Here is a 21,381-nt window from a genome sequence, read left to right as displayed (position 1 = left end):
GGGAGGCAGGCGCTATGAATGAATACAAGAAGCTCAATGGTGAGGCTCCGGGCATCTGCAGGAGGCAGGGGCAGTCATGACTTGTGGCAGCCCGAGAATGGACGAGTGTGGCAGGACTCAGGGACCAGACAGTGAGATGAGCTGAGGCACAGTGGCAAGAGGGGACCAGGTAGGCTATGTTAAGATTCTGGGTCGGGGGAAGGAAGGAGGGTAAGAGGAGCTGATGTTGAAGACCAGTTATGTGCTAAATCCAGAGCCAAGTGGCAGAGGTGAGCCCTCAAATCCCACAAGAACCTAAGGAGGTAAGTAGTTTGTTTTTTGGGGGGTTTTGGGTTTATTTTATTTTATTTTATTTTTGGAGATGGAGTCTCGCTCTGTCACCCAGGCTGGAGTGCCGTGGTGCGATATCGGCTCACTGCAACCTCCGCCTCCTGGATTCAAGCGATTCTCCTGCCTCATCCTCCCAAATAGCTGGGATTACAGGTGTGCCACCACCATGCCTGGCTAATTTTTGTATTTTTGGTAGAGACGAGGTTTCACCAAGTTGGCCAGGCTGGTCTCAAACCCCTGACCTCAGGTGATCCTCCTGCCTCGGGCTCCCAAATTGTTGGGATTACAGGCATGAGCCACCGTGCCCAGCCAGAGGTAAGTAGTTTTTTAAGCCCCATTTTACAGATGAGCAAACTGAGGTTAACTGACCTGGTCAAGGTCACACAGCCAGCAAGTGTCAGAGCCAAGAATTGAACCTAGATTCATCTGGCTTCAAATTCTGTGCTGTTCTTCTCCACTATCAGATCTGCTAAACATAAGAACTAAATTTGACTGGGCACTTGGCAGTGCACCCAGCAGTGCCCTAAGGGCCTTACCTGCATTATCTCCTGTAGTCTGTCCAATAACCCCAGGAGGTGGGCTCTCCTACTCTTTCCATTTCACAGATGAAGAAATTGAGGCCTCCAACCCTCAGCTCTAAGGAGCAGTGCTAGGGCTTACAGCCAGGCAGGATGACCGCAGAACCTCCCTGCACCCACCACTCACTCAGGTCCCCTGTGCTTGGAGCCCTGAGCTAGCAGCTACGTGTGAAAAGCTTGGCAGCTGTGCTTTCCAGGTAAGAGGGAGACGGTTGAACCGTCAGGCCCTATCTTAGAGGGAGATAATTCCACACAGAGAGGGGCTCAGACCGGATGCTCAAACACCAGGCTAGGGCCAGTAGACAGTGCAGAGCAAGGTGCCTGAGGAGTCCCTAGGAGTTCCGTGGGCCCCCCAGGCCAGGGCTGTTGGCAGCAGACGTAGTGGGCCCCAAGTACCCAGCCATGACTGGCTCCAAAGCAGAGGGGCTGGGCCATGGCCTGGGCTCATCTCCATTCGGGAGCACCCTGAGGAGAATGTCAGGGCCAGCAGGAGCTCAGCATGACCTGTTGGCTCTCTGCAGGGGTGAGGGGTCACCCTGAACCTGAACCACCCTCTCTCCCATTCCTTGAGAGCAAAGGGTCTAGCCCCAGCAGTGAGGGCCTCCCCATGAGGCTGGAGGCAGGGTCCAGTGGACAAGAGTCAGGGCCCTCAATATCCTTCTCTTGCCCCCATTACCCTTGACATGTCCTGGAAAAGCCAGCACTGGGCACCCAGATTCTTTCTCCCACATGGCTTTACCCCAAGAGCAGAACAGAAATTCCTTTTCAGTTATTGAGCCCCAGTTTGTAATTGAGAAATCCCCAGGGTTTTTTTTGTTTGTTTTTTGTTTTTTCTGTTTTTTTGTTTGAGACATCCTGCTCTCTCGCTCAGACTGGAGTGCAGTGGCATGATCTCGGCTCACTGCAACTTGCACTCTGCCTCCCAGATTCAAGCAATTCTCCTGCCTCAGCCTCCCACATAGCTGGGACTACAGGCATGCACCACCACGCCCAGCTAATTTTTGTGTTTTTAGTAGAGACGGGGTTTTACCATGTTGGCCAGACTGGTCTTGAACTCCTGACCTCAAGTGATCCACCCTCTTTGGCTTCCCAAAGTGCTGGGATTATAGGCATGAGGCACCACGCCTGGCCAAAAAATCCCAAATTTGAGAGGATGTCTAATCAGTATGGTCTCTCAGAGGCCCCTGTCCTGTCACTGCATGGCACAGGGAGCGCGGGAAAGTGGCATTAAACACGAATGCTCCAGCACCTGTAGGGCAAGGCGCCCTCTGGGCGAGGTGGCTGCTTTCACCCCAGCCTTGCCCCCATATCTCCCCTCACCCTATCTGAGCCCCTGAGCCTCAGGGTGCTTCATCCCCACCAGGGATGACCCAAGGCTGGTGCCTCCAGGCAGCTGGGATGAGCCGAGTCCACTCCCACATGGGCGTGGTTAGGGGTCCGGCAGGCAGAGGCCCTGGGGCAGGGAGCCGGCTGCTTGCCTCCCACTAGGACGCTGGCCAGCCAGGCCCACCCACCCCAGAAAGCAGGACCTGAACTTGCCCCTCCCCATCTGCCCTTCCTGGAATGTAAATTCAGCCAAGTTTGCAAGGAGCCCAGTGTCCCCTAGTGTCTGCTCAGGGCACAGCCCAGGTTCCTCAGGCTGGAAGCCACTCGCCTGCTGGGAAAAAGGTGAGAGACGTCCCATGAGTCCCAAACACAATGGTGAGGCAAGACAGAGGGTGTCCTCGACCTCACCTCCCCACCTATGGGCCTCGGGCTGCCCTCCTACCACCACCCCCAAACCCCAAACCTCCCACTCTAGCACCCCCTTCACCCCTCCCATCAGATCCTTCCCATTCTGTGCCTAAGTTTTGCTGGTCTAATCCCAGCTGGTCTCTTGACTTGGAATGTCAGGGCCCGAAGGAGCTCAGGGACCCATCACCATCACAGATGTGAAGGCTGAGGCGACCGGGCCAGTGATGCCGGGGTTGGTGCAGGTATATGAAGCCCACTCCGTTGGCTGACACTCAGTTGGCGTCTGGTTTAGAGACGTGATGATGCCCCTGAATCAATTGCTGCAGCTGGGCTCACATGGCTCCCGGGGCCACCACCACCACTGGCCAGAAGGAATCTTTGTGGATTTAGGGTAGCTCATTTCTGCCCCAGAGCCCCTGAAAGTGGACCTAAGAATTGATACTTGGGGCAATAGCCTTCCAGGCAGAGCAAGCCTCCAGGACAAAGACCTTGTGGCCGGAGCGACCCAGGGAGGCCTCTCAGCTGGAGCCAGGTGACTATGCTGGGCTCCTGGGAGTGCGCTCTGAGAGCCGCCACCCTGAGTGATGATATCAGAACCCCCATGGAGAAGCAAACAATTCAGGGGCTTCCAGGCAAGAGAGAGGAAGATCATTCTCACATCGCCTGTCATCTGTCTCTGTCAGGAGAAGGGGCAGGTCTAAAGCCCTGAGCAGAAGTTGGGGTAGGCCCCATACCTTGGACTCGGGACCAGAAAGAAAGTCTGTTTTTTCATGGCTTCTGTCAGTGGAGCCCAGGGTCACCTCCCCCCCCACACCCCAAGAGTGGCTTTGAGAGGCTGACAGGCTGCGTGACACAGCTTGGCAGGTCTCTTAGCAAAGTGCACATGTCACTAGCATGCCAGGTGCTGGAAGGGAGGAACAGGCACCCAGCCCAGCTCTCCTCCCTCACCTCAGGGTTCTCTGGCTAGAAGCTGCACCAGCAGAGGGGATAGAGTGGCTAGAACAGTTACTGCATAGTGCCGGTCACCCTGGGTCTGGATGCTGCGATGGTCCCATTTAATAGCTCAAACTACCGCAGGAAGGGTCTCCAGAGGTCCTGGGAGGTGCTGGTGGAGCAGAGAGGTGGTAGCAGTGATCGGGGGCGGGGGGGTCCTCCCCACAGCCTCTCAGGAGACTGGGAGGCAGCTCTGGTTCCCTCTCCCAGCCCCAGGGCTCAGAAGGAGTGGGGTAAAGGAAGTGTCTGCAGCCAGAATCCCGCCCATGAGGACAAACTTCTATGTAATCTAGGGCACAACTGGAAGGGGCTGATTTTACCTGGAAAGCAGGAGAAACCTAATGCCTGACACAAATATAGAATTTACATATTTCCCAGCTAATAGCTGCTTGTAGCTTATGCTAATTTGGCATCAATTCTCTCTTTGTTATGATTAAAGACCATAACTTGGAGAGCATTAGCAGTGAGCCTAATGAGGAACTGCGGGATAGCATGGCAGCCAGGGTTCTATGAGAGCTGCAGGGCAGAGTGATGACCTCACAGATGAGAAGGCTGAGTCTGAGGCTAAGGCTGAGAGTCGCAAAATGTCTGGCCCAGGGTGGGTCAGGGCAGAGCTGGGACCGGAGCTCACACTCCCTACTCTCATTTTCCCTCCTTTCTGCACTGCCACGGCTCAAGTCCTGGCCTTCAACACAGCACCCACTCATGCAGCCCCCAACCCGGCCCTGACCCCAGTTCTTAACCAAGCAGCTCTCAGAACATATATCCCAACCCTGGCTGAAAGCTTCCTTCAGGTCTTGAATTTGACAGGAATTTGACCAGGAGGTTCTACCCCAATTCCGGTTGAATTTCAGTCCCTAAACCAAACCCTGACACCAATCTCCCCAGCCCACACCCGTCCCAGCTCTGGCCCTGGGCGCGGGAGTGTCCAGCACCTAACCATCAGCAAAGCCCTCCCTAGGATGAGGTCTGGGTCCACCACCCCCTCTCCCCAGGGCAGGGTCTGAGGGATTAGGTGACATATCTAAGGTCACACAGGAATAAGTAGCAGAGTTGGCTGTGGAGCTCAGGTCCCTGTGGCTCTGGAGTCTCCAGGTGGCGGTGGGCAGCAGGAGGCCTGGAAGGTGCCGGGGGATGGTGGCCCCTCCACAGGCACTCCTCTGACAGCACATGGCCTCACAGGAGCCCCACAGCGTCTCGAGAGGTGGGCAGCTCAGAGATCGTTCACCTCCATTTTGCAGATTAGAAGACTGAGGCCCAAGGGGAAAGGCTAAGGTCAGTGGCAGAGCAGAGCAAGAGACCAAGTCCCCTGACAGTCCACCCAAGGCTCTCCCATGGCACCACACTGCCTCCTTCCCACCCTGTAGGGGCTGAGCAGGCAAGTCAGGTGTGGAGGAAAAAATAACGCAGGAAACTGCAAGATCACAGACTCATTTCCAATCCTCATTCCTGGAGAAGTGCCCCAGAATGGCAATGCCAGCTCAGCTGCCTTTAATCGGGAGGCTGCCTGGGCTCCAGAGCAGCCAATCCAGAGTCCCTGCTTGCCAACAGTAGGGTATTGATCAAACGGGTTACCGCCCTGCACTCCCGCTTCCCTGCCTATAAGATGGGACCATGTGGCTCCCCAAGACGTTGCTGAGTGTTGAGATCTGATGATGGATGCACAGCCCCAGCTTGGCACCTGGCTCGTTGTAGGAGCTCCCTGACTTTAGTTCCCTCCACCATCTACACCACTCCGTGTCTGGGAAGGGTCACCTTTGGGCAACACCTCTAGAGCCAGCTGACCTCCCAGTACCATCTACTCAGTTCTGGAACTTGGGCTGAGGAGGTGCCTTGTTCATGCAAATAGTGGTGGGGTGTGAAGATTGACACCCTGAGTCCCTAGGAGCAACCTGGAAGACCAGCTGAGAGTAATTAGCCCTGTCTACCTGCCCACCTCTGGAACACTCTGGTGGGCCACGCAGGTGTATCTGGCAAGGCCCTGAGGCCTGTGTGGAAACATCCAAAGCTTGGAGTAGCCTTGAAGGCTGAAGAATGAAGAGTGACCCCGGGGCACAGGACCCGGCAGCGGGGCCAAAGAAGGGGCCCCTGGGGTGATGGAGACAGTGCTCAGGCCCCAGAAGGAGGAGCAGTAGCAGTCGAGGTTCCCTGGGTAGGCAGAGGGGATCCCACCAGGGAAAGACAAATGGCCAGATGGCAGAGGGAAGGCACCGGCTGCGGCCTCCACTGGGAACATTCATTAAGCCTTCAATTAGAGCAGGCCTGCCCCTGTCAGCTCCAAAGGGTGCCCAGGGCTCCAGTTGCCCTGCCCAAACCAGGAGTTAATAACTCACCCTGTAATGGACTCAACAGAGAAACAGCCAGGAGCACCCACTCATCCATCTGCCTGCCTACCAGGGCTCTGGACAGGAGGGAGAGCTGGGGACACCTCTTTGGATCCCTTTATCCCCCAGAAGCCACATCACAGGCCAGCTGGAGATGGGAAAGCACAGCAGTCCCTCTTGTCCCTCGGGACTGGAGTGTTCACGTACTATTCCCAGAAAAGAAGGAAGCAGAATCTCTGCATCTCAGGGCAGGGAGGCTCCAGGAAGCTTTATTTACTGTCCTGGATGATTTACTGTGTATGGTGCTGGGGACAGAGATGGGTAAGACCCCAGCTCTGCCCTCCAGGAGTCCACATTCAGCTTAGGCAGGGCTGGCCAGGGCAGGAAGTAGGAGGGAGAAAATAGACATGAATCTGACCATAACCATAGGCTTCTATGGCCAGTACTGTCAAGAATAGCAGCACCTTCCAAGAGGTATGAGAGGAGAGTCTCAGCTCGGGGTTAAGGGAGAGCCATGCAGAGGTGGCCAGTAAACTGAGAGGTCAGGGTCATATAGTCCCACTCCTTGTTTTACAAGTGGACAACCTGAGGCCCAGAGAGGGCAGGTGACTGGCACAAGGCCACACAGCTATTCAGGGTCAGAGCCAGAATTAGAACCCTGTCAAGAGTGGGCCTCTCCATGCTAAAGCAGGCAAACTGAGGCCTGGAAAGTCACTTAATTAGGACATTGAATGGAACCCTCTGTCACCCACCCTGTCCTGAGAAAGATTGGCCCTCCAAGGGTCATTTCACATGACAAGCATTGCCTGAGGGTACACATGCGGTCTGTTCTACTGAGAGCACTCTGGAGAGCAGTGGCTCCCCCAGCCTCCCCTGGGTGCCTGGCTCCTCCTGTCCCTTTCAGCCTGCCCCTTCAGCCTCCCCGTCTCCTACTCAGGACCCTCAACCATTCCCCCAGCACCTCAGGCCAAGGCCAACTGGGTGGGCTGCCAAGAATGGTCAAGCTCCAACCTTCCCAGAACCGGCCAGGGCTAGGACTTTTTTTTTTTTTTTTTTTTTTGAAAGGGAGTCTCGCTCTGTCGCCCAGGCTGGAGTGCAGTGGCACAATCTTGGCTCACTGCAACCCCCGCCTCCCGGGTTCAAATGATTCTTCTACCTCAGCCTCTCAAGTAGCTGAGCTAATTTTTTGTATTTTTAGTAGAGATGAAGTTTTGCCACGTTGGCCGGGCTGGTCTCAAACTCCTGACCTCAGGTGATCCACCCACCTCAGCCTCCTAAAGTGCTGGGATTACAGGCATGAGCCACCGCGCCCGGCCCAGGGCCAGGCTTTTAAAGCATGATTGTGACTCAGCCTGCACCAGAATCACCCAGGGAACTTATTAAAATGCAGATTCCTAGGTACTGCCCAGGACCTGGTGATTCAGAGTCTCTGGGAGTGGATCATAGGAATCTGCATTTTAGAATAAACTCCCTGGGTTTTTTTTTTCCCCAAAAAATGATATTAGTGGGTACATAAATGTAGAAAAGTGTAGAAGTAATAGGTGAATTGCTCCATGCGTTTTCACAAACTCCACATCTGCTTAATGTCTACCCAGGTAGAGAAATAGAATATTTACAGGCCCTCACAAACCCCTCATGTCCCTTCCGGTTACTAAGCTGTCCAAACAAGGCCAGTATCCTGACTCCTGACAGCTCAGTTCTGTTTTGCCTGCATTTGAATTTCACGTGTATAGAATTATACAGACACCTGTGTCTGGCTCTTTTTTACTTGACATTATTTGTGAGACTCATTCATACCATTATATGCAGTTGTGGTTTGTTTATTCTCAATGCTGAGTAGCATTCCAGCCTATGATTGTACCACAATTTGTATGCATTCTGCTGTTGATGGGCATTGGGTTGTTTCCAGCTTTGGGATATCAAAAGAGGGCTGCCATGAAAATTCGATGACATGTATCTCTGTGGACATTTGTATACATTTCTGATGGAGATATGTCGATCAGCAGAATTGTGGCATCACAGATAGGATTTGCTTGTGTTCAGGTTTAACAAATACAGCTGAACAATTTTCCAAAGTGGCTGTACCAATTTAGACACCCACCTGCAGTGTCTGAGAGTTCCAGTTGATGCACATCCTCGTCAGCACTGGGCGCATCTCTCTTTTCATCCCAGCCATGCTTGTGGGTGTGGAGTGATACCATTTTATGCTTCAACTTGCATTTCCCTGATGACTAATGATGTTGAGCACATTTTCTTATGTTTATTGGCCATTTGGGCATCCTCTTTTGTGAAGTGCCTCTTCAGATCTTTTGCCAATGTTTTAATCAGATTGTCTTTTTCTTACTGATTTATAGGAGTTCTTTATATATTCTGGGTTCTTGTCCTTTCCTGGCTATGTGTATTGCAAATATCTTCTTCAACTTGCTGTCTTGCCTTTTTACTCTTAATGATGTATTTTGATAAACAAATATTTTATTTTAATATAGTCCAAATAATTTTTTTCCTTTTTGGGGTAACAATGTTTGTGTCTTATGTCCAGGTGGTTCTATGCACCTGAAAGTTTGGGGGGTGGCTGGAGTTCTTCCAGATGGACGACAGGCCTTGTTATTGCTCATCGCCACTTTCTTCTCAGACAGACACAGAATTCCCTTAATCATACGGGCCACACTTGCTGAGCACTTGTCCTGCTTTGGGGCACTTTACATGTGGTAGCAGACATCCTTGTGGGCATCTATTCAGCCTGAGTCCCAGCTGGAGCCCGTTGACTGAGAACTACTCCTGGACAGATGGGCCGTGCTGTGGCAGTCGCACTGGTACGTGACCCTGGCACGCTGGCCACAGCTGATAGGACAGGAACAGACCCTTTCCAAGCTGAACTCATCAGGCTGTCTCTCCTGGGGATCTGGATTTGTCCTGAAGGGTGCTAGACTCAGTTCTGATTGTAGCAAGGAAGAAATGATGAGAACTCAGGAACTGAGGCTGCCATGAGGGCAGGAGAGGGCACATTTGGCCCCACAGCCCTGGAAGCCTGCAGAGGAAGACAGAGGAAGCAGATGTGAGAAGGGGTGGAGTGTGGACACTAAGATATGCTGCACCTTCTGGTTCTTGGCTCTCACGATGCACTCACGCCCTGGGGGCCCCCAAAGATGCCCAACAGCTTTTCAATAAATTCCCCTTTATGTTTAATATGAATCCTGTCCTTGCAACCAAGAAAGTCTTATCTAAGATATGGTTAGCATCTTGAATCTTCAGAACAATGAATTATTCCCTTTTTAGAGATAAAGAAGCTGATTTGGGCTCAGGGAATGATTGCATTTTAAAAAACGAATTTGATTCCATCGTCTAGCTTTGGATGCACTGAGCAAAACACATATGAAACAGGACACTGTTTACTGCAGACCTTTTCAGAGCCTTTGATAGAATGGCACATGGGGATCTGCCAAATGCAGAGTCTCTCTAACTTATCTGACTATGGAACCTCCTTTTGTAAGAGGCATTGTGTGAGACTAATGTTTTATGGAAAATGCTGTGAGGAGCCAAATTTCTCCTCCCTGCCCCAAGGTGTTCTCTCTGGAAGGAGGTGTCCTGGGCAAATACCTGGAAATATTCATCCCCCCAGGTACATGACCCCTCAGTAGATATGATGAGGGAAGGGATCTGTTTTCTAAATCTCTTTCCTGAGGGTTTTTCTAACCTGAAGCAACTGCCCTGGGCCTGGGCCCCGCTAGATTAGTCAACTATAACTGAATTTCAGAACTTTCCAAGTGGTCGGCAGGCCTCATCATGCCTGGGACTCCAGGCTCCACCAAGCCACTGTCATCCCTGGAGCCTGGTCCTTAACCAGCCTGCCCCTTCCCAGTAGGAATGAGGCCAGGAAGGGGCAAAAAAAGAGGAGGGAATCTGGGAAGAAAAGACAAGGTAGAAAAGAGAAAACTGAAGGAAGAGGAAAGGACCGGAGAGGAAGGAAACAGTGAGGAACAGACAGACCCTCAACAGGGGTGCCGGGAGGGTTTCATGAAGGGACTATTTGCCAAAGGTGTGCACAGGATTTTGGAAAACCAATAAAGATGGAGCAGGCTGGGTGTGGTGGCTCACACCTGTAATCCCAGCACTTTGGGAGGCCAAAGCGGGCAGATCACCTGAGGTCAGGAGTTCAAGACCAGCCTGGCCAACATGACAAAACCCCATCTCTACTAAAAATACAAAATTAGCTGGACGTAGTGGTGCACACCTGCAGTCCCAGATAATTGGGAGGCTGAGGCAGGAGAATCCCTTGAACCTGGGAGGCGGAGGTTACAATGAGCCGAGACTGTGCCACTGCACACCAGCCTGGGTGACAAGAGCAAAACTCTGTTTCAAAAGAAAAAAAAAAAAAGATGGAGCGTGCCTAGGAGCCAGCAGCATGGAGAGTCATGACCACCCCTAGGCCTGAAGGGCCAGGGATGGAGTGGACCCGGAGAGGGTGGGTGTATTAGTCTGTTTTCACGCTGCTGATAAAGACTTACTCGAGACTGGGTAATTTATAAAGAAAAAGAGGTTTAATAGACTCACAGTTCCACGTGGCCGGGGAGTCCTTAGAATCATGGCAGGAGGTGAAAGGCACGTCTCACACAGCAGCAGTCGAGAGAATGACAGCCAAGCACAAGAGGTTTCCCCTTATCAAATCATCAGCTCTCATGAGACCTATTCCCTACCACGAGAACAGTATGGGGGAAACCGCCCCATGATTCAATTATGTCCCACTAGGTCCCTCCCACAACATGTGGGAGATATGGGAGCTATAATTCAAGATGAGATTTGGGTGGGGACACAGCCAAACCGTATCAGTGGGTGTGGAGGAGCCAGCTGAGCAGTTGCTGCCAGGGCCTTTGGTGTTAGCAGGCCCGGATCCACCCCATCCGTTGTCCCCCTACCCTCTGATCTCCTGCTGGTGCCTCCCACTGGCCAAACCCCATCAGAGGCCCCCGGTCAGGGAGCAGCTAGTGCAGCCGCACACTCACACTTGCAGGGTAGAGATGGGCAGGAACAGCCGAGGGGAATGGAGACTGCCCGGCGTGGGAGGCTTGGGAGGAGGCTGGGGGAAGCAGAAGGGGAGGGAGGAGAGATGAAAATACAGGTCATCAAAAGGGAGGGCCTTGAAAGAGGCAAGAGCAGAGAGGAGCCTCCGGGCTGGAGGCAGCTTTTCTCTGCGCCCTCCTAGATGCACGGGCTTGTTGCCTCTCCCCAAACCCCCAGATCTCTGAGTATCAGAACGGCCCACACTGGGCAGCAGACATGTGAGCATGGCCCCAGGACAGACAGAGAGCCGGCCTCCTCCCCACTCCTGCCAGCTCCCACAATCGGGTGGGCGGACGGAGCTCTGCTGAGATCAGCTAAACAGGCCCACCTCTGCTGTGTGCAGCCCTCCCTTTATGCAAGCCATGAGTGCCTGAAAGGTTGGGAGCATAAATCAATGCCAGGCAAAGGAGTCCTCGTTGAAATTCACCAGGAAAAAATGCATCGCTGAGGATCCTAGAGTGAGTTCCTCTCCACAGACAACAGTTGTCCCCAACGTGGCTCTTGTCTACGAACACATTGGAGCAGTTGAAAGTGGGCTCACTCTGACTATGAAGCTTCATCAGGAGGATGTTCTGGCCACGCCAGGGTGGGTGATGGGCTGCATCTGCCTCCCAGCCCCCCAGGTTCAGGGAAACTTGCTAGCACTCACACTTCCCTCTCTGCTTCTCTCCTCCACCTTCTGGTAACTCCAAGGGGGGAAAGTGCAGGTGCCTCTCTCCACCCATTCTGCAGAGAGGTGTGCTGATGGGCAGGCACTCAGAGCCACCTCAGGCCTGCCCCTGCCACCACTGAGCCCGCCTCTCTCCACCCCCAGCTCCCCCAGCCTTATGAGCTCTGGGCCCAGCCCCTGTGTTTGAGGGGGCCTGACTCCCTCACTGGCATGACCTCTGAGGGCCTGGCTGGGTGGAGATGATGGGAGAGCCACCTCCCCAGTTCACTCGCAGCAACAGCAGCACTGGGCCTTTGGTGAGATGAACCCCGGAACACCAAGACCAACCCAGGGAAAGGGATGTCTGAGGCAGGGAAATCCTTCATGAAGGGAGGCAGCTACTGTAGATCAAAGCCTGTTTTCTGTGCCTCTACATCATCATTAGCAGAGGGCAGAGATGGGGGAAGAAGGGGGCAGGCACAGGACTGCAGGAGAGCTCTTTGCATCCCCTAGAGTAAAGCTGGTGCCCCTGAGGCATTTGGTGGAGGTGAGGGGGGCAGTGCCAATGCCCTCTGGGTCCAGGGACTTGTGGAGGCCAGAAGAGGGTCTCCAGGACCAGGTCACATGCCAGGGAAGGCTTCCTGGTGGAGAAAGCCTCTGAGCTGAGTCCTGAGGAGGCACTGGTGGTACCTAGGCCACACTTGGGTAGGCCGACCCTGTGTATTCAGAGTGTCTTCACCTATGGGGGACTTAACAGAAAGGCAAGACACCGGAAGGGTCTTGAATCCAGAGACCCACCATGAAGTACCCATTAATAATAGATGGATGCAGCAATCAGGGAAGGCTTCCTGGAGGAGGTGAGCCTAAACAAAGCTTGAAAGGAAGGGAGTTAAGAGAGACCATAGACCCTGGTAGACCCCTCACTTCCATGCCCTCATTGCTCCCAGGATCTTTTTCTCCTCAGCCACTGTCTTGGTTTGAAGTTGTACAATTCTCTAATTGTTTCGTTAATGTCACTGGACTACGGGCTCCAAGGTTTTGCTCACCATTGTGACATAGTGAATGTTCAATCAATGTTTTTGGAAGGAATAAGTGAAAGGATGAGTGAATGACTGTTTGACTAGTCCTAACTTCTATGGTCTGGAAGTGGCGTGGGTCTGTCCCATGGAGGGGTGGGAGGCAGTGGGAGGCCCTGGAGATTCTGCAACATAGCTGGAGCTGCACTGGGCTGGACAGAAGATGGTCTGGGGCAGTGGGACAATAAGTGCAGGGATCCTTGTTCTTGTTTCCAGGGGGAAGTGGGGGCTGGGAAGAGGGCACAAGGCTAGGACCCAATGAAGCATGCCATCTGGAACCGTGGGGTGGCTAGAGCTTGCAGGAGATGGGCTTGGAAGGAAAGGGGGCCCAGGATGGATCCAGACCTCACATAGTGTGCACTCCAACCCCACAGCCCCTCTCCCCAGCCCGGGGTCCTCCAGGAGCTGCTGGACCTCTTTCTCCTGTCTTCCCCACTGCCTCCTTGGTCTGATTGTGCAGAGTGATTTGTGGGCCTGAGAAGCTGAATTGTGGGTAAAGCGCTGTCCAAATGTGGAGCAAATTGGAACTGCAGCTCCAGCTGGCGGGCCATCCATCACAGGAAAGGCTCATCAGAACCTCACTGCCCTGCCCAGCCTGGGCCCCTCACTGTGCCTGCCCCAGGGGTGAAGGGGTCTCCTCCTCTCTCCACCTAGGGTCTGAGGGGGCCATGGGTAGCATGGGAGTGGGGGCCTGGGACTGGGGACCTAACTGGAAGAGAGACAGGGAGGAGGAGGACTGACCATTCCTTGCATTTGTAGGGTCTCCTTTAGGCTTTTCCATAGCATTTTTATGCTGATGAATTTCACAGAAGCCTCCCAAGAGGTGTATTATTTATAAGTTGGGAAACTGAGGCACAGTACAATCAGGTGACAGGCCCAAACTTGCACTGCATTAACAGAGACTGGAGCATGAAATTTACAGCTGGAATACCTGGAATTCTTAACAAAGCAGTAGTTTCTTGCAACACGGAAGAATTCAAAAGCAAATAAATATTCCATCTGGCGCAACTCCTAGTTCCTGGAGCTGACACCTTAGTGGCTCCATTACAGACTGATGAGGTGAAGGAGTCACCAAAACACCTATAACCTGCAGGCCCTGCCTTGAGGTACTGTCTCTCCGTGCCAGGAGCTGTTCCCGTTCTAGGAGAACCCTCTCCCTGCCTTTGCCCTGCCCAGCCTCAGACACCCCATTCCTCAGTCCATGTGACGCAGCTCCTGGCCACAGCTGATTAGGCCAGAGGCGGTCACGTGAGCCAGACTATCTCCTCATAGCCTGGCCCTGACCTCTGACTTGGGACCTGCCTGAAAAAGATGAGCTATGCCAATTAGATGCAAGGAATTTGGAATTGGGACCTTGAGCAACCCAATGAGGTAGCAGAGTGAGCCAAGCTGAAAGGTCCCAGGTAACCTCAGGACTCATCTTTCTGAGAGGCCAAACTATCCAGACCCTGCTTACTTTCCCCTGCCTCTCCCTTAACTCTGGATCCAGAAACCTCTGTGTGTGCGTGGAAGAGGGGAGGAAGATGCCACACTTGCTCTCTGTCATCCCACATGCCCCCAAGCTACCAAACTGTTTATCCACATGAGTCATTTCCGTTTCCCCTTGAGGCCTGGGTTTGGAAACTCAGAACCCAAGCACAGACTGCTGTCTCTCTCTTTATGCTGAGTCATCTCTTCCTTGAGACTACAGCTGAGCTGTCCTGCTGACTACTGAACGGAAGCGGCCAAGGTTGGGGATGGAGAGGAGCCGTGGAATATGAATTAACATTCCTATATGTTATCATGTCACACAAGGTTACCTGTGGCCCAGGACCCCAAATGCGGAAGCATCAGGAAGGGAGAAAGCTCCCCTCTGCATGGGAGGGGTGTGTGTGTGTAGGGGGGCCCTCTCTGCAGACCTCTGTGCTCCCGATTTCATTTTTGTGGAGCCCTTCCTGGTTGCCCTGGCCTGGGCCTCTCATGACCTGTTAGATTAGTGCTAAAAGTCCGACTGTTTGTACAAAGTGCGTTTGTATCTGTTTCAATCAGGGTTTAAGTGCAGGAAACAGAAGGCATGTGGGGATTTGAAGCAGAGAGGCAATTAACATGGGGAATTAGGTGCTTAAAAAGTCATTGGAGGTGCTGTAGCAGTTGGCATTAGGCTTGCACCCAGGAATGAGTATGGAACAGCTGAACTGGCCCCATCAGGAAGGGGAGGAATCAGAGCCACCACCGAACACACCACTCTAGCTGCCATCCATCGTCTGAAGCTGCTGTCACCACCATATGACGTCTGGGCCCCATAAAGCTGGTGCCTGGACATTGGAATGCCATGAAGGAAAATTCGTGTGTCCATGAGCCTACCTGCCACCGGCGAATAGCTAACGGATGAGGAAGCTGGCTCTGCCTCACTTCTGCCCTGCAGGCCTCATGTGGGTGTCTGCATTCAGCAGAACCTAGCTCATTAACAAAAACCCTAGGTGCACGGGAGCCACACTGTTGTTAGCTTTGTAGCCTCTGCAGCAGCAGAAGGCAAGGAATGGATGCTGAGTCCAAGCACATATCTCAGAGCCCAATTCCAGATTCCCAAGAGACCCCACAGGCCGACGTGGCCCATCTTTTGCAGCCAGTGTGGGCTGACTGCTCTCAGTTAAGGCCTCGCCTGGGGGGAAGCTGTGTAAACACAGGAGGGGCAGTGGAAGGGGAGCGAGGACTGAAGAGCGAGGTGCATGACTCTGCGTGTGTGCGCACGTATGCACGTGCATGTGCCTGTCTGGGGAAGAGGAGTGGGGGTGGATCTTAGGGGCTGTGAGATGAAGCCCAGCTCTCCCTACATTCTCACAGGGCCTCTTATAACAGGAGCAGCCAGCAGCCACGGAGGCTTCCATCCAGTGGGGAAGTCAGTGGTGGGGTGGACCTCACCCACTCCCAGTCTCTACCTACCCTGGGTCAGCACAGCCATCTCTGATCAGCTCTCAGGGGAGGCTGAAGTCTTTGTCTCTCCTTGAGCTAATTTCTGGGGATCCCAGCATCTTGTATTAATAAAACCGGAGTACCTAGAATGTCCCTCTCTTCAAAATACAGTTGTGACACAAACACTGTGGCTGCAGGTTCCCTGGGGGAACTTTCGCTGGGGTGAGGTGCACTGAGGCTCAGTTCCCCCTGACAGGGGGCCCTGCCTGCAGGCTGCTAGCCCAGGGCAGGACTGAGGGGTTGAGAGATGCCAACCCCAGGAGCTGCTCGGCCTTGTGGCTGCAGCTCCCTCAGCAGAAACCCTTGCCTGTGGAACTGCTCTCTCCCTTTTGCTTGTTAAAGAGTTCATCTGCTGCTACTCCCCGCTCCTGGAAGATGAAGGAACTACCACTCCGGCAGGCGTGGGGAGGCGGGGAGGTGGGAGGGAGCACACACTCCAGGCCAAACACCCGCCTGCCCTGGCATGCAATCCGCAGGGAGACCCGGGAAAGGGAGGCTGCATTCCACAATGTGTCAGGAAGACAAGACAGGCTCTCTCTGCTCCTCTGCCTTGGAGAAGATCTTAGCCCAGTCTGACTTCAGGGTCGACTTGGCCAGAGCCTCACAGAGCCTCACAGAGCCTCAAAAGCTAATGAAGGACTCATCTCCATCGCCTCAACTCAGGATGTCTCCAAGGGAATGACCCCTCCTCCCTCTGCCCGCAAACTACTGCCTCCTGCCGCCTTCCCTGTCTGTGTCACAGCCCCCTCCCCAGTCTATGAGATCTGCTGCTCCATCCCCTGAGACTCCTCTCAGATGTGGCCCTTGCTTGTCATTCCTACCTTTCAACCCACTCCTCTACCTTCATCACCACACCAGCCACCTCCCCCAGGCCTCCCTGCAGCTCCCCTCTCTCCTGTCCCTGGAGGGTTCCCCTGCTGAACACCCCTGGACACCTCCCATTCCCCCGTGACCTGCTAAATGGAGCCCCAGTGCCTCAGCCTTGTCTCGGAGGCTTTCTGAGGCTCACCCCTGGCAAACCGTTCCAGGCTATCTCCCACACACACCCACATTCTTGCCAAACTATATTATGCATCAATTCTCGAATAGTGGGCACATGATGGAAGCTGGCTAATTAGAGCCCTCTCCTGAGACTTTTGCCTGAACTGGTCCTCTGGGATTTGAGCTGTAAAGGACGGTGTGGTAGACTGAAGAAAATGCCTCTCTCCCAATGATATATGCACTTCCTAATACTTGGAACCTGCAAATATTACCTTACATGCCAAAAAAGCAAATGTTGCCTTATATGGCAAAAGATATAATTAAGTTAAGAATCTTGGAAGGAGAAGCTTATTCTGGATAATTTGGGTAGGTCTCGAATGCCATCACAAGTATCCTTTACACACACACAGAGAAGTTAGACACAAAGGAGAAGGCAATGTGAAAACTGAGCAGACAGAGATGTGGCCACAAGCCAGGACATGCTGACAGCACCAGATGCTGACAGAGGCAAGGCACGGCCTCTTCCCTAGAGTCCCCAGAAGGCACGTGGCCCTGCAGACAACTTGATTTCAGACCTGTGGCCTCCAAAACTGTGAGAGAATAAATTTCTATTGTTTGAAGCCACCAAGTTTCTTGTAATTTGTTATAGCATCCCCAGAAATGGATACAGATGGTGAGTGCTGGAGCTGCTGGAGCCATTTTGTGCCATGTGGAGAGGATGTGGGAAGCCTGAAGCAGATCCAGAAGAAAGCAGAGCTGAGGGATAGAGAGGGGCACAGGGGTCTGGGTAGAGCCCTGAGGACATTGGGTCACCCTGCAGGCAGCCTTCCCTCCCTAGCCTTTTCAGCAACACAAGCCAACATGTTTCCCGTTTTACTTAAGCCAGTTTGAACTGGTTTTCTGTCACTTGCAGCCCAAAGTGTTCTGACTAACACTCTCACCCAGTAATTATTATGAGCCTTAAAAATAGCTCAAATCTTTGACCCAGTGATCCCAGCTTTCTGCCCTAAGAAAATAATCTTTATAAGGACAGTCACAGCAGTGTGAAAAAATAGAAACAACCTATATATGCAACCACAGGACATGCATTCATAAATTATGGGGGGATATTATATAACTATTAAAACTACATTTTCATGCTTATTATAAAGTAATAAGTGAAAGGCAGGACAGCAATAAAAAATACATGCACACACATAAACATACATTTGTATATTTATATATAAAAAGAATAATCTCCATTTTAAAAAATTTTGCTTGAGATAATTTTTTTTTTTGAGACAGAGTCTTGCTCTGTCGCCCAGGCTGGAGTGCAGTGGCGTGATTGCTTGAGATAATTTTTAAGGCAACAAAGCATTACACATACAGTTGAAATCCTTTGTGTACCATCCCTCAATTTCTTACATAGCCTCCTTCCCTCTCCAAAGGTAGCTACCTTATCTAAGTTGGTATCATCCCCATGTATGATTTTAAATACTGCTTATGTATGTATCCATAAGTAATGCATTATATTTACACATCTCTACACTTTAATCTGTAGGATGAGGCTTTCTGCAACTTATCTTTTCTCCACCAACCATACATTTTGCTTTCAGTCCATCTTGATAACATGTTCGTTAGTTTTAGCTGCTGTCAAGAATTCCTTTTCTGAGTGTCCCACACTTTAGTTACCCCTTCTCTGGTTAATAAACGCTGAGCTCATTGGCAATACTTCTTACTCTAAAATGCTGCAGCTCTTATGGTTCCTTGTGTACACACATGAGATTGTCCCCAGGGGTTTACACCCCAAGCGCAGTAGCGGGCGCAGGGTGTGTGTGTCTTCTTCCCTACAATGTGCAGCTGAATTGTCCTCCTAAGGAGTGGTATTAAGAGTGAATAGTTGGCAGGGCACAGTGGCTCACGCCTGTAATCCCAGCACTTTGGGAGGCCGAGGAGGGCAGATCACAAGGTCAGGAGATCAAGACCATCCTGGCTAACGTGGTGAAACCCGTCTCTACTAAAAATACAAAAATTACAAAAATTAGCCGGGCATGGTGGCGCGTGCCTGTAGTCCTAGCTACTCGGGAGGCTGAGGCAGGAGAATTGCTTGAACCTGGGAGGTGGAGGCTACTAACCTGAGATCGCACCACTGCACTCCAGCCTGGGCGACAGAGTGAGACTCCATCCCCCCCGCCCCCCCCGCCCCCCCCCCCGCAAAAAAAAAAGAGTGAGTAGTTTCCATTTTCCATATCCTCAGTGGGGAGACGTTTTTATTTTTGACAATCCAACGGGTAGGAAATTGTATCTCGCCATGTGGTTTGATGTACATTTCCCTTTTTACAGGGCTCTCTATACGCTTTCCATACATTCATATCCCTCTCAGTTTCCTCTTCTGTTCAATGCTTTTGACCACTCTACTGAGGTATTTGTCTTTTGAATGGAAAACATATTCACATGAATTACACTCAAATGTCAACAGTGTCTTAACACTTTTTATTTCTTTTTTATAGTAATAGGACACTTCGTTTGCGGTGGCCCTGTCAGCGTCCCCTGTCTGGAAAACACCCCCTCAGCTTCCCACCTGCTCTGGCCATGTGGTCCAAATTGGAGCCCAACTCTCACCTGATCCTGCCCCACAGGCCACAGGGATTGGTCCAGGGTTAGGCATGTGACCCAGTCAGACCAATCAGAGCCCCTCTCTGGGCTTTTTAACTGGAGCTGGAGGAGAGCAATTCTTTCCTGGTTGATCATGAAAATATGAGGACATGAGGCCAGTATTCCTGCTTCATAGAGACAAACAGCCTGCGACCAAGAAACAAATACCAAGCAAGAGAGGAAGGGAGTGAAAATGGAGAGGGCCTGTAGGCAACCAGACCTACCACACGTGTCCAGACACGCCGCGGCTCTGAGCTCCACTGACTTGCACAGACTCGGGGGCTGAGGCCTGGCCAGAGACCTGCCCCTACCATCAAGGGTTGCCAGCCTTCTGCAGGGCGCCCGCCAGGCTCTGATGTGCCCAGGGTTGGGGAAGACCCTGGCTCTGACCCTTTAAATCCAGGGCTGCAGAGAAGGCTGTTCCTGATGCTGAAGCAGCAACACTGACCAATTCCCAGCAGGGCTTCCGCACAGCGCCTGGGCCTGCTCACCTGTGGGGAGGCGCTGGCCAAGGGCATCCCTCGCCGCTCGCTCCTACCCCCGCGGGCCTCGAACGGCGCCTTCCCACTGAGTCAGAGGCCTAAAATAAGAAGCGTGTTCCAAAAGATGTGGCTTATGGGAAAACTTCAGCCAAATCAATTAATGATAAAACCCTTGAGCAAACACAGCTACTTTTATCATTTTAGAATGTTGTGATTGGAGCAGCAAATGAAATTAAATTAAAAACACAGAGACTTCAGGTCAGAACCCCAGCCGCTCTTGTTGGTTTTTAATCTCCTATTAAACGATATATCTTCTGATGGCTTTTGTCAGCTTATTTAATGTAATAACCCAGGACATGTGGCCCACTGACCTCCTCATTCCCCCCACATGGCTAAGGGGGAGGGTACCGCTGGCAGCCAGGTCCACCCACAAGCTTAAAATGGGGATGGGCAGGTGGGCAACAGTCATGGGGAACGGCAAGGGGCCACAGAGGACCCTGGAGACTGAACTTCGCTAGAGCTCTGTAGGCAAACACAGGGCAGTGAGGTGCCCCGAGGCCGTCTGCTTAGTCCCCTCCATTACAGATGAGTCACCTGGAGCCCAGAAAGCAAAAGCTTTCCCAAGTCACATTCAGAGCCAGGATTGGAACCCAGGCCCCCTGACAGCCAGCCCACAGCTCAGCGTCCAGGAAAAGGGCTGAGTGCAGGGCTGGGAGTGAGGTCCTCAGTTCTCCACCGCCTCTCAGGGCATTAGTAGTGGGGCTCAGTCTGGAAGACAGAATCAGAGTCCCAGTCCCCAGGAGATCCTGGCCTGATGGGAGAGGCCGTTCCCATGCTCGGGGACTTCCCAGTGTGATGATGGAGACACAACCCTGCCCTCAGGAAACTCCCAGTGAGATGGAGACACGGGCAAATACAGATGGCCAAGGAAATTGTTTTGGTGACAACAAGAAAGGGTGGCTTGGAATGTATGTTGGCTTCACCAAGGAAGGCTTCCTGGAGGAGGTGGAGAAAGAGGCAATCTCAAGACAGCTTAGGCCGAGGATTTGTGGCAAGAGAGAGAAGATGCAGTGGGTGAGGGAGAAGAGACACAGGGTGCATTCCCTCTGTAAGTTGCCTGTACCCACACGCAGGCACACACAAACATACTGGCCTGTGTGCACACACTTATGCCTATGTGTACATACAAAACCATGCACTCGCTCTCCCTCTCCCTCTCCCTCTCCCTCTCGTCTCCCTCTCCCCACTGTCTCCCTCTCCCTCTCTTTCCACGGTCTCCCTCTGATGCCGAGCCGAAGCTGGACTGTACTGCTGCCATCTCGGCTCACTACAACCTCCCTGCCTGATTCTCCTGCCTCGGCCTGCAGAGTGCCTGCGATTGCGGGCACGCACCGCCACGCCTGACTGGTTTTCGTATTTTTTTTGATGGAGACGGGGTTTCGCTGTGTTGGCCGGGCTGGTCTCCAGCTCCTGACCGCGAGTAATCCGCCAGCCTCGGCCTCCCGAGGTGCTGGGATTGCAGACGGAGTCTCGTTCACTCAGTGCTCAATGGTGCCCAGGCTGGAGTGCAGTGGCGTGATCTCGGCTCGC

At 52.6% G+C, this 21,381-nt stretch overlaps 1 long non-coding RNA gene across 1 annotated transcript, besides 6 other annotated features; it reads right to left on the bottom strand.

Annotated features, from left to right (window-relative positions):
- Positions 824-1,606: an enhancer, noted in NCBI's record as "H3K4me1 hESC enhancer chr6:33820767-33821549 (GRCh37/hg19 assembly coordinates)". NCBI's record gives its function as "activates a minimal SCP1, AML or CMV promoter by ChIP-STARR-seq in primed H9 embryonic stem cells {active_cell/tissue: H9 hESC(primed)}" and the evidence as "EXISTENCE:reporter gene assay evidence [ECO:0000049][PMID:30033119]".
- Positions 4,021-4,551: an enhancer, noted in NCBI's record as "H3K4me1 hESC enhancer chr6:33817822-33818352 (GRCh37/hg19 assembly coordinates)". NCBI's record gives its function as "activates a minimal SCP1, AML or CMV promoter by ChIP-STARR-seq in primed H9 embryonic stem cells {active_cell/tissue: H9 hESC(primed)}" and the evidence as "EXISTENCE:reporter gene assay evidence [ECO:0000049][PMID:30033119]".
- Positions 7,764-10,592, bottom strand: LOC124901306 (uncharacterized). The gene is made up of 2 exons (XR_007059551.1): positions 10,511-10,592; positions 7,764-8,987 (listed from the first exon to the last, which is right to left on the bottom strand). It is a non-coding gene; the product is annotated as an uncharacterized LOC124901306 (long non-coding RNA).
- Positions 12,776-13,710: an enhancer, noted in NCBI's record as "H3K27ac-H3K4me1 hESC enhancer chr6:33808663-33809597 (GRCh37/hg19 assembly coordinates)". NCBI's record gives its function as "activates a minimal SCP1, AML or CMV promoter by ChIP-STARR-seq in naive H9 embryonic stem cells {active_cell/tissue: H9 hESC(naive)}" and the evidence as "EXISTENCE:reporter gene assay evidence [ECO:0000049][PMID:30033119]".
- Positions 13,750-14,949: an enhancer, noted in NCBI's record as "P300/CBP strongly-dependent group 1 enhancer chr6:33807424-33808623 (GRCh37/hg19 assembly coordinates)". NCBI's record gives its function as "activates an origin of replication core promoter dependent on BRD2, BRD4, P300/CBP, MED14 and CDK7 cofactors, with strong dependence on P300/CBP, by STARR-seq in HCT116 cells {active_cell/tissue: HCT116}" and the evidence as "EXISTENCE:reporter gene assay evidence [ECO:0000049][PMID:35650434]".
- Positions 13,750-15,580: a biological region, named in NCBI's record as "P300/CBP strongly-dependent group 1 enhancer GRCh37_chr6:33807424-33808623".
- Positions 14,646-15,580: an enhancer, noted in NCBI's record as "H3K27ac-H3K4me1 hESC enhancer chr6:33806793-33807727 (GRCh37/hg19 assembly coordinates)". NCBI's record gives its function as "activates a minimal SCP1, AML or CMV promoter by ChIP-STARR-seq in naive H9 embryonic stem cells {active_cell/tissue: H9 hESC(naive)}" and the evidence as "EXISTENCE:reporter gene assay evidence [ECO:0000049][PMID:30033119]".

Source organism: Homo sapiens, chromosome 6 (assembly GCF_000001405.40).
Source record: "Homo sapiens chromosome 6, GRCh38.p14 Primary Assembly".
NCBI classification, from domain to species: Eukaryota; Metazoa; Chordata; class Mammalia; order Primates; family Hominidae; genus Homo; species Homo sapiens.
The sequence above is the reverse complement of the archived record's forward strand: the minus strand, read 5'-3'. Positions and strand labels throughout refer to the sequence as shown.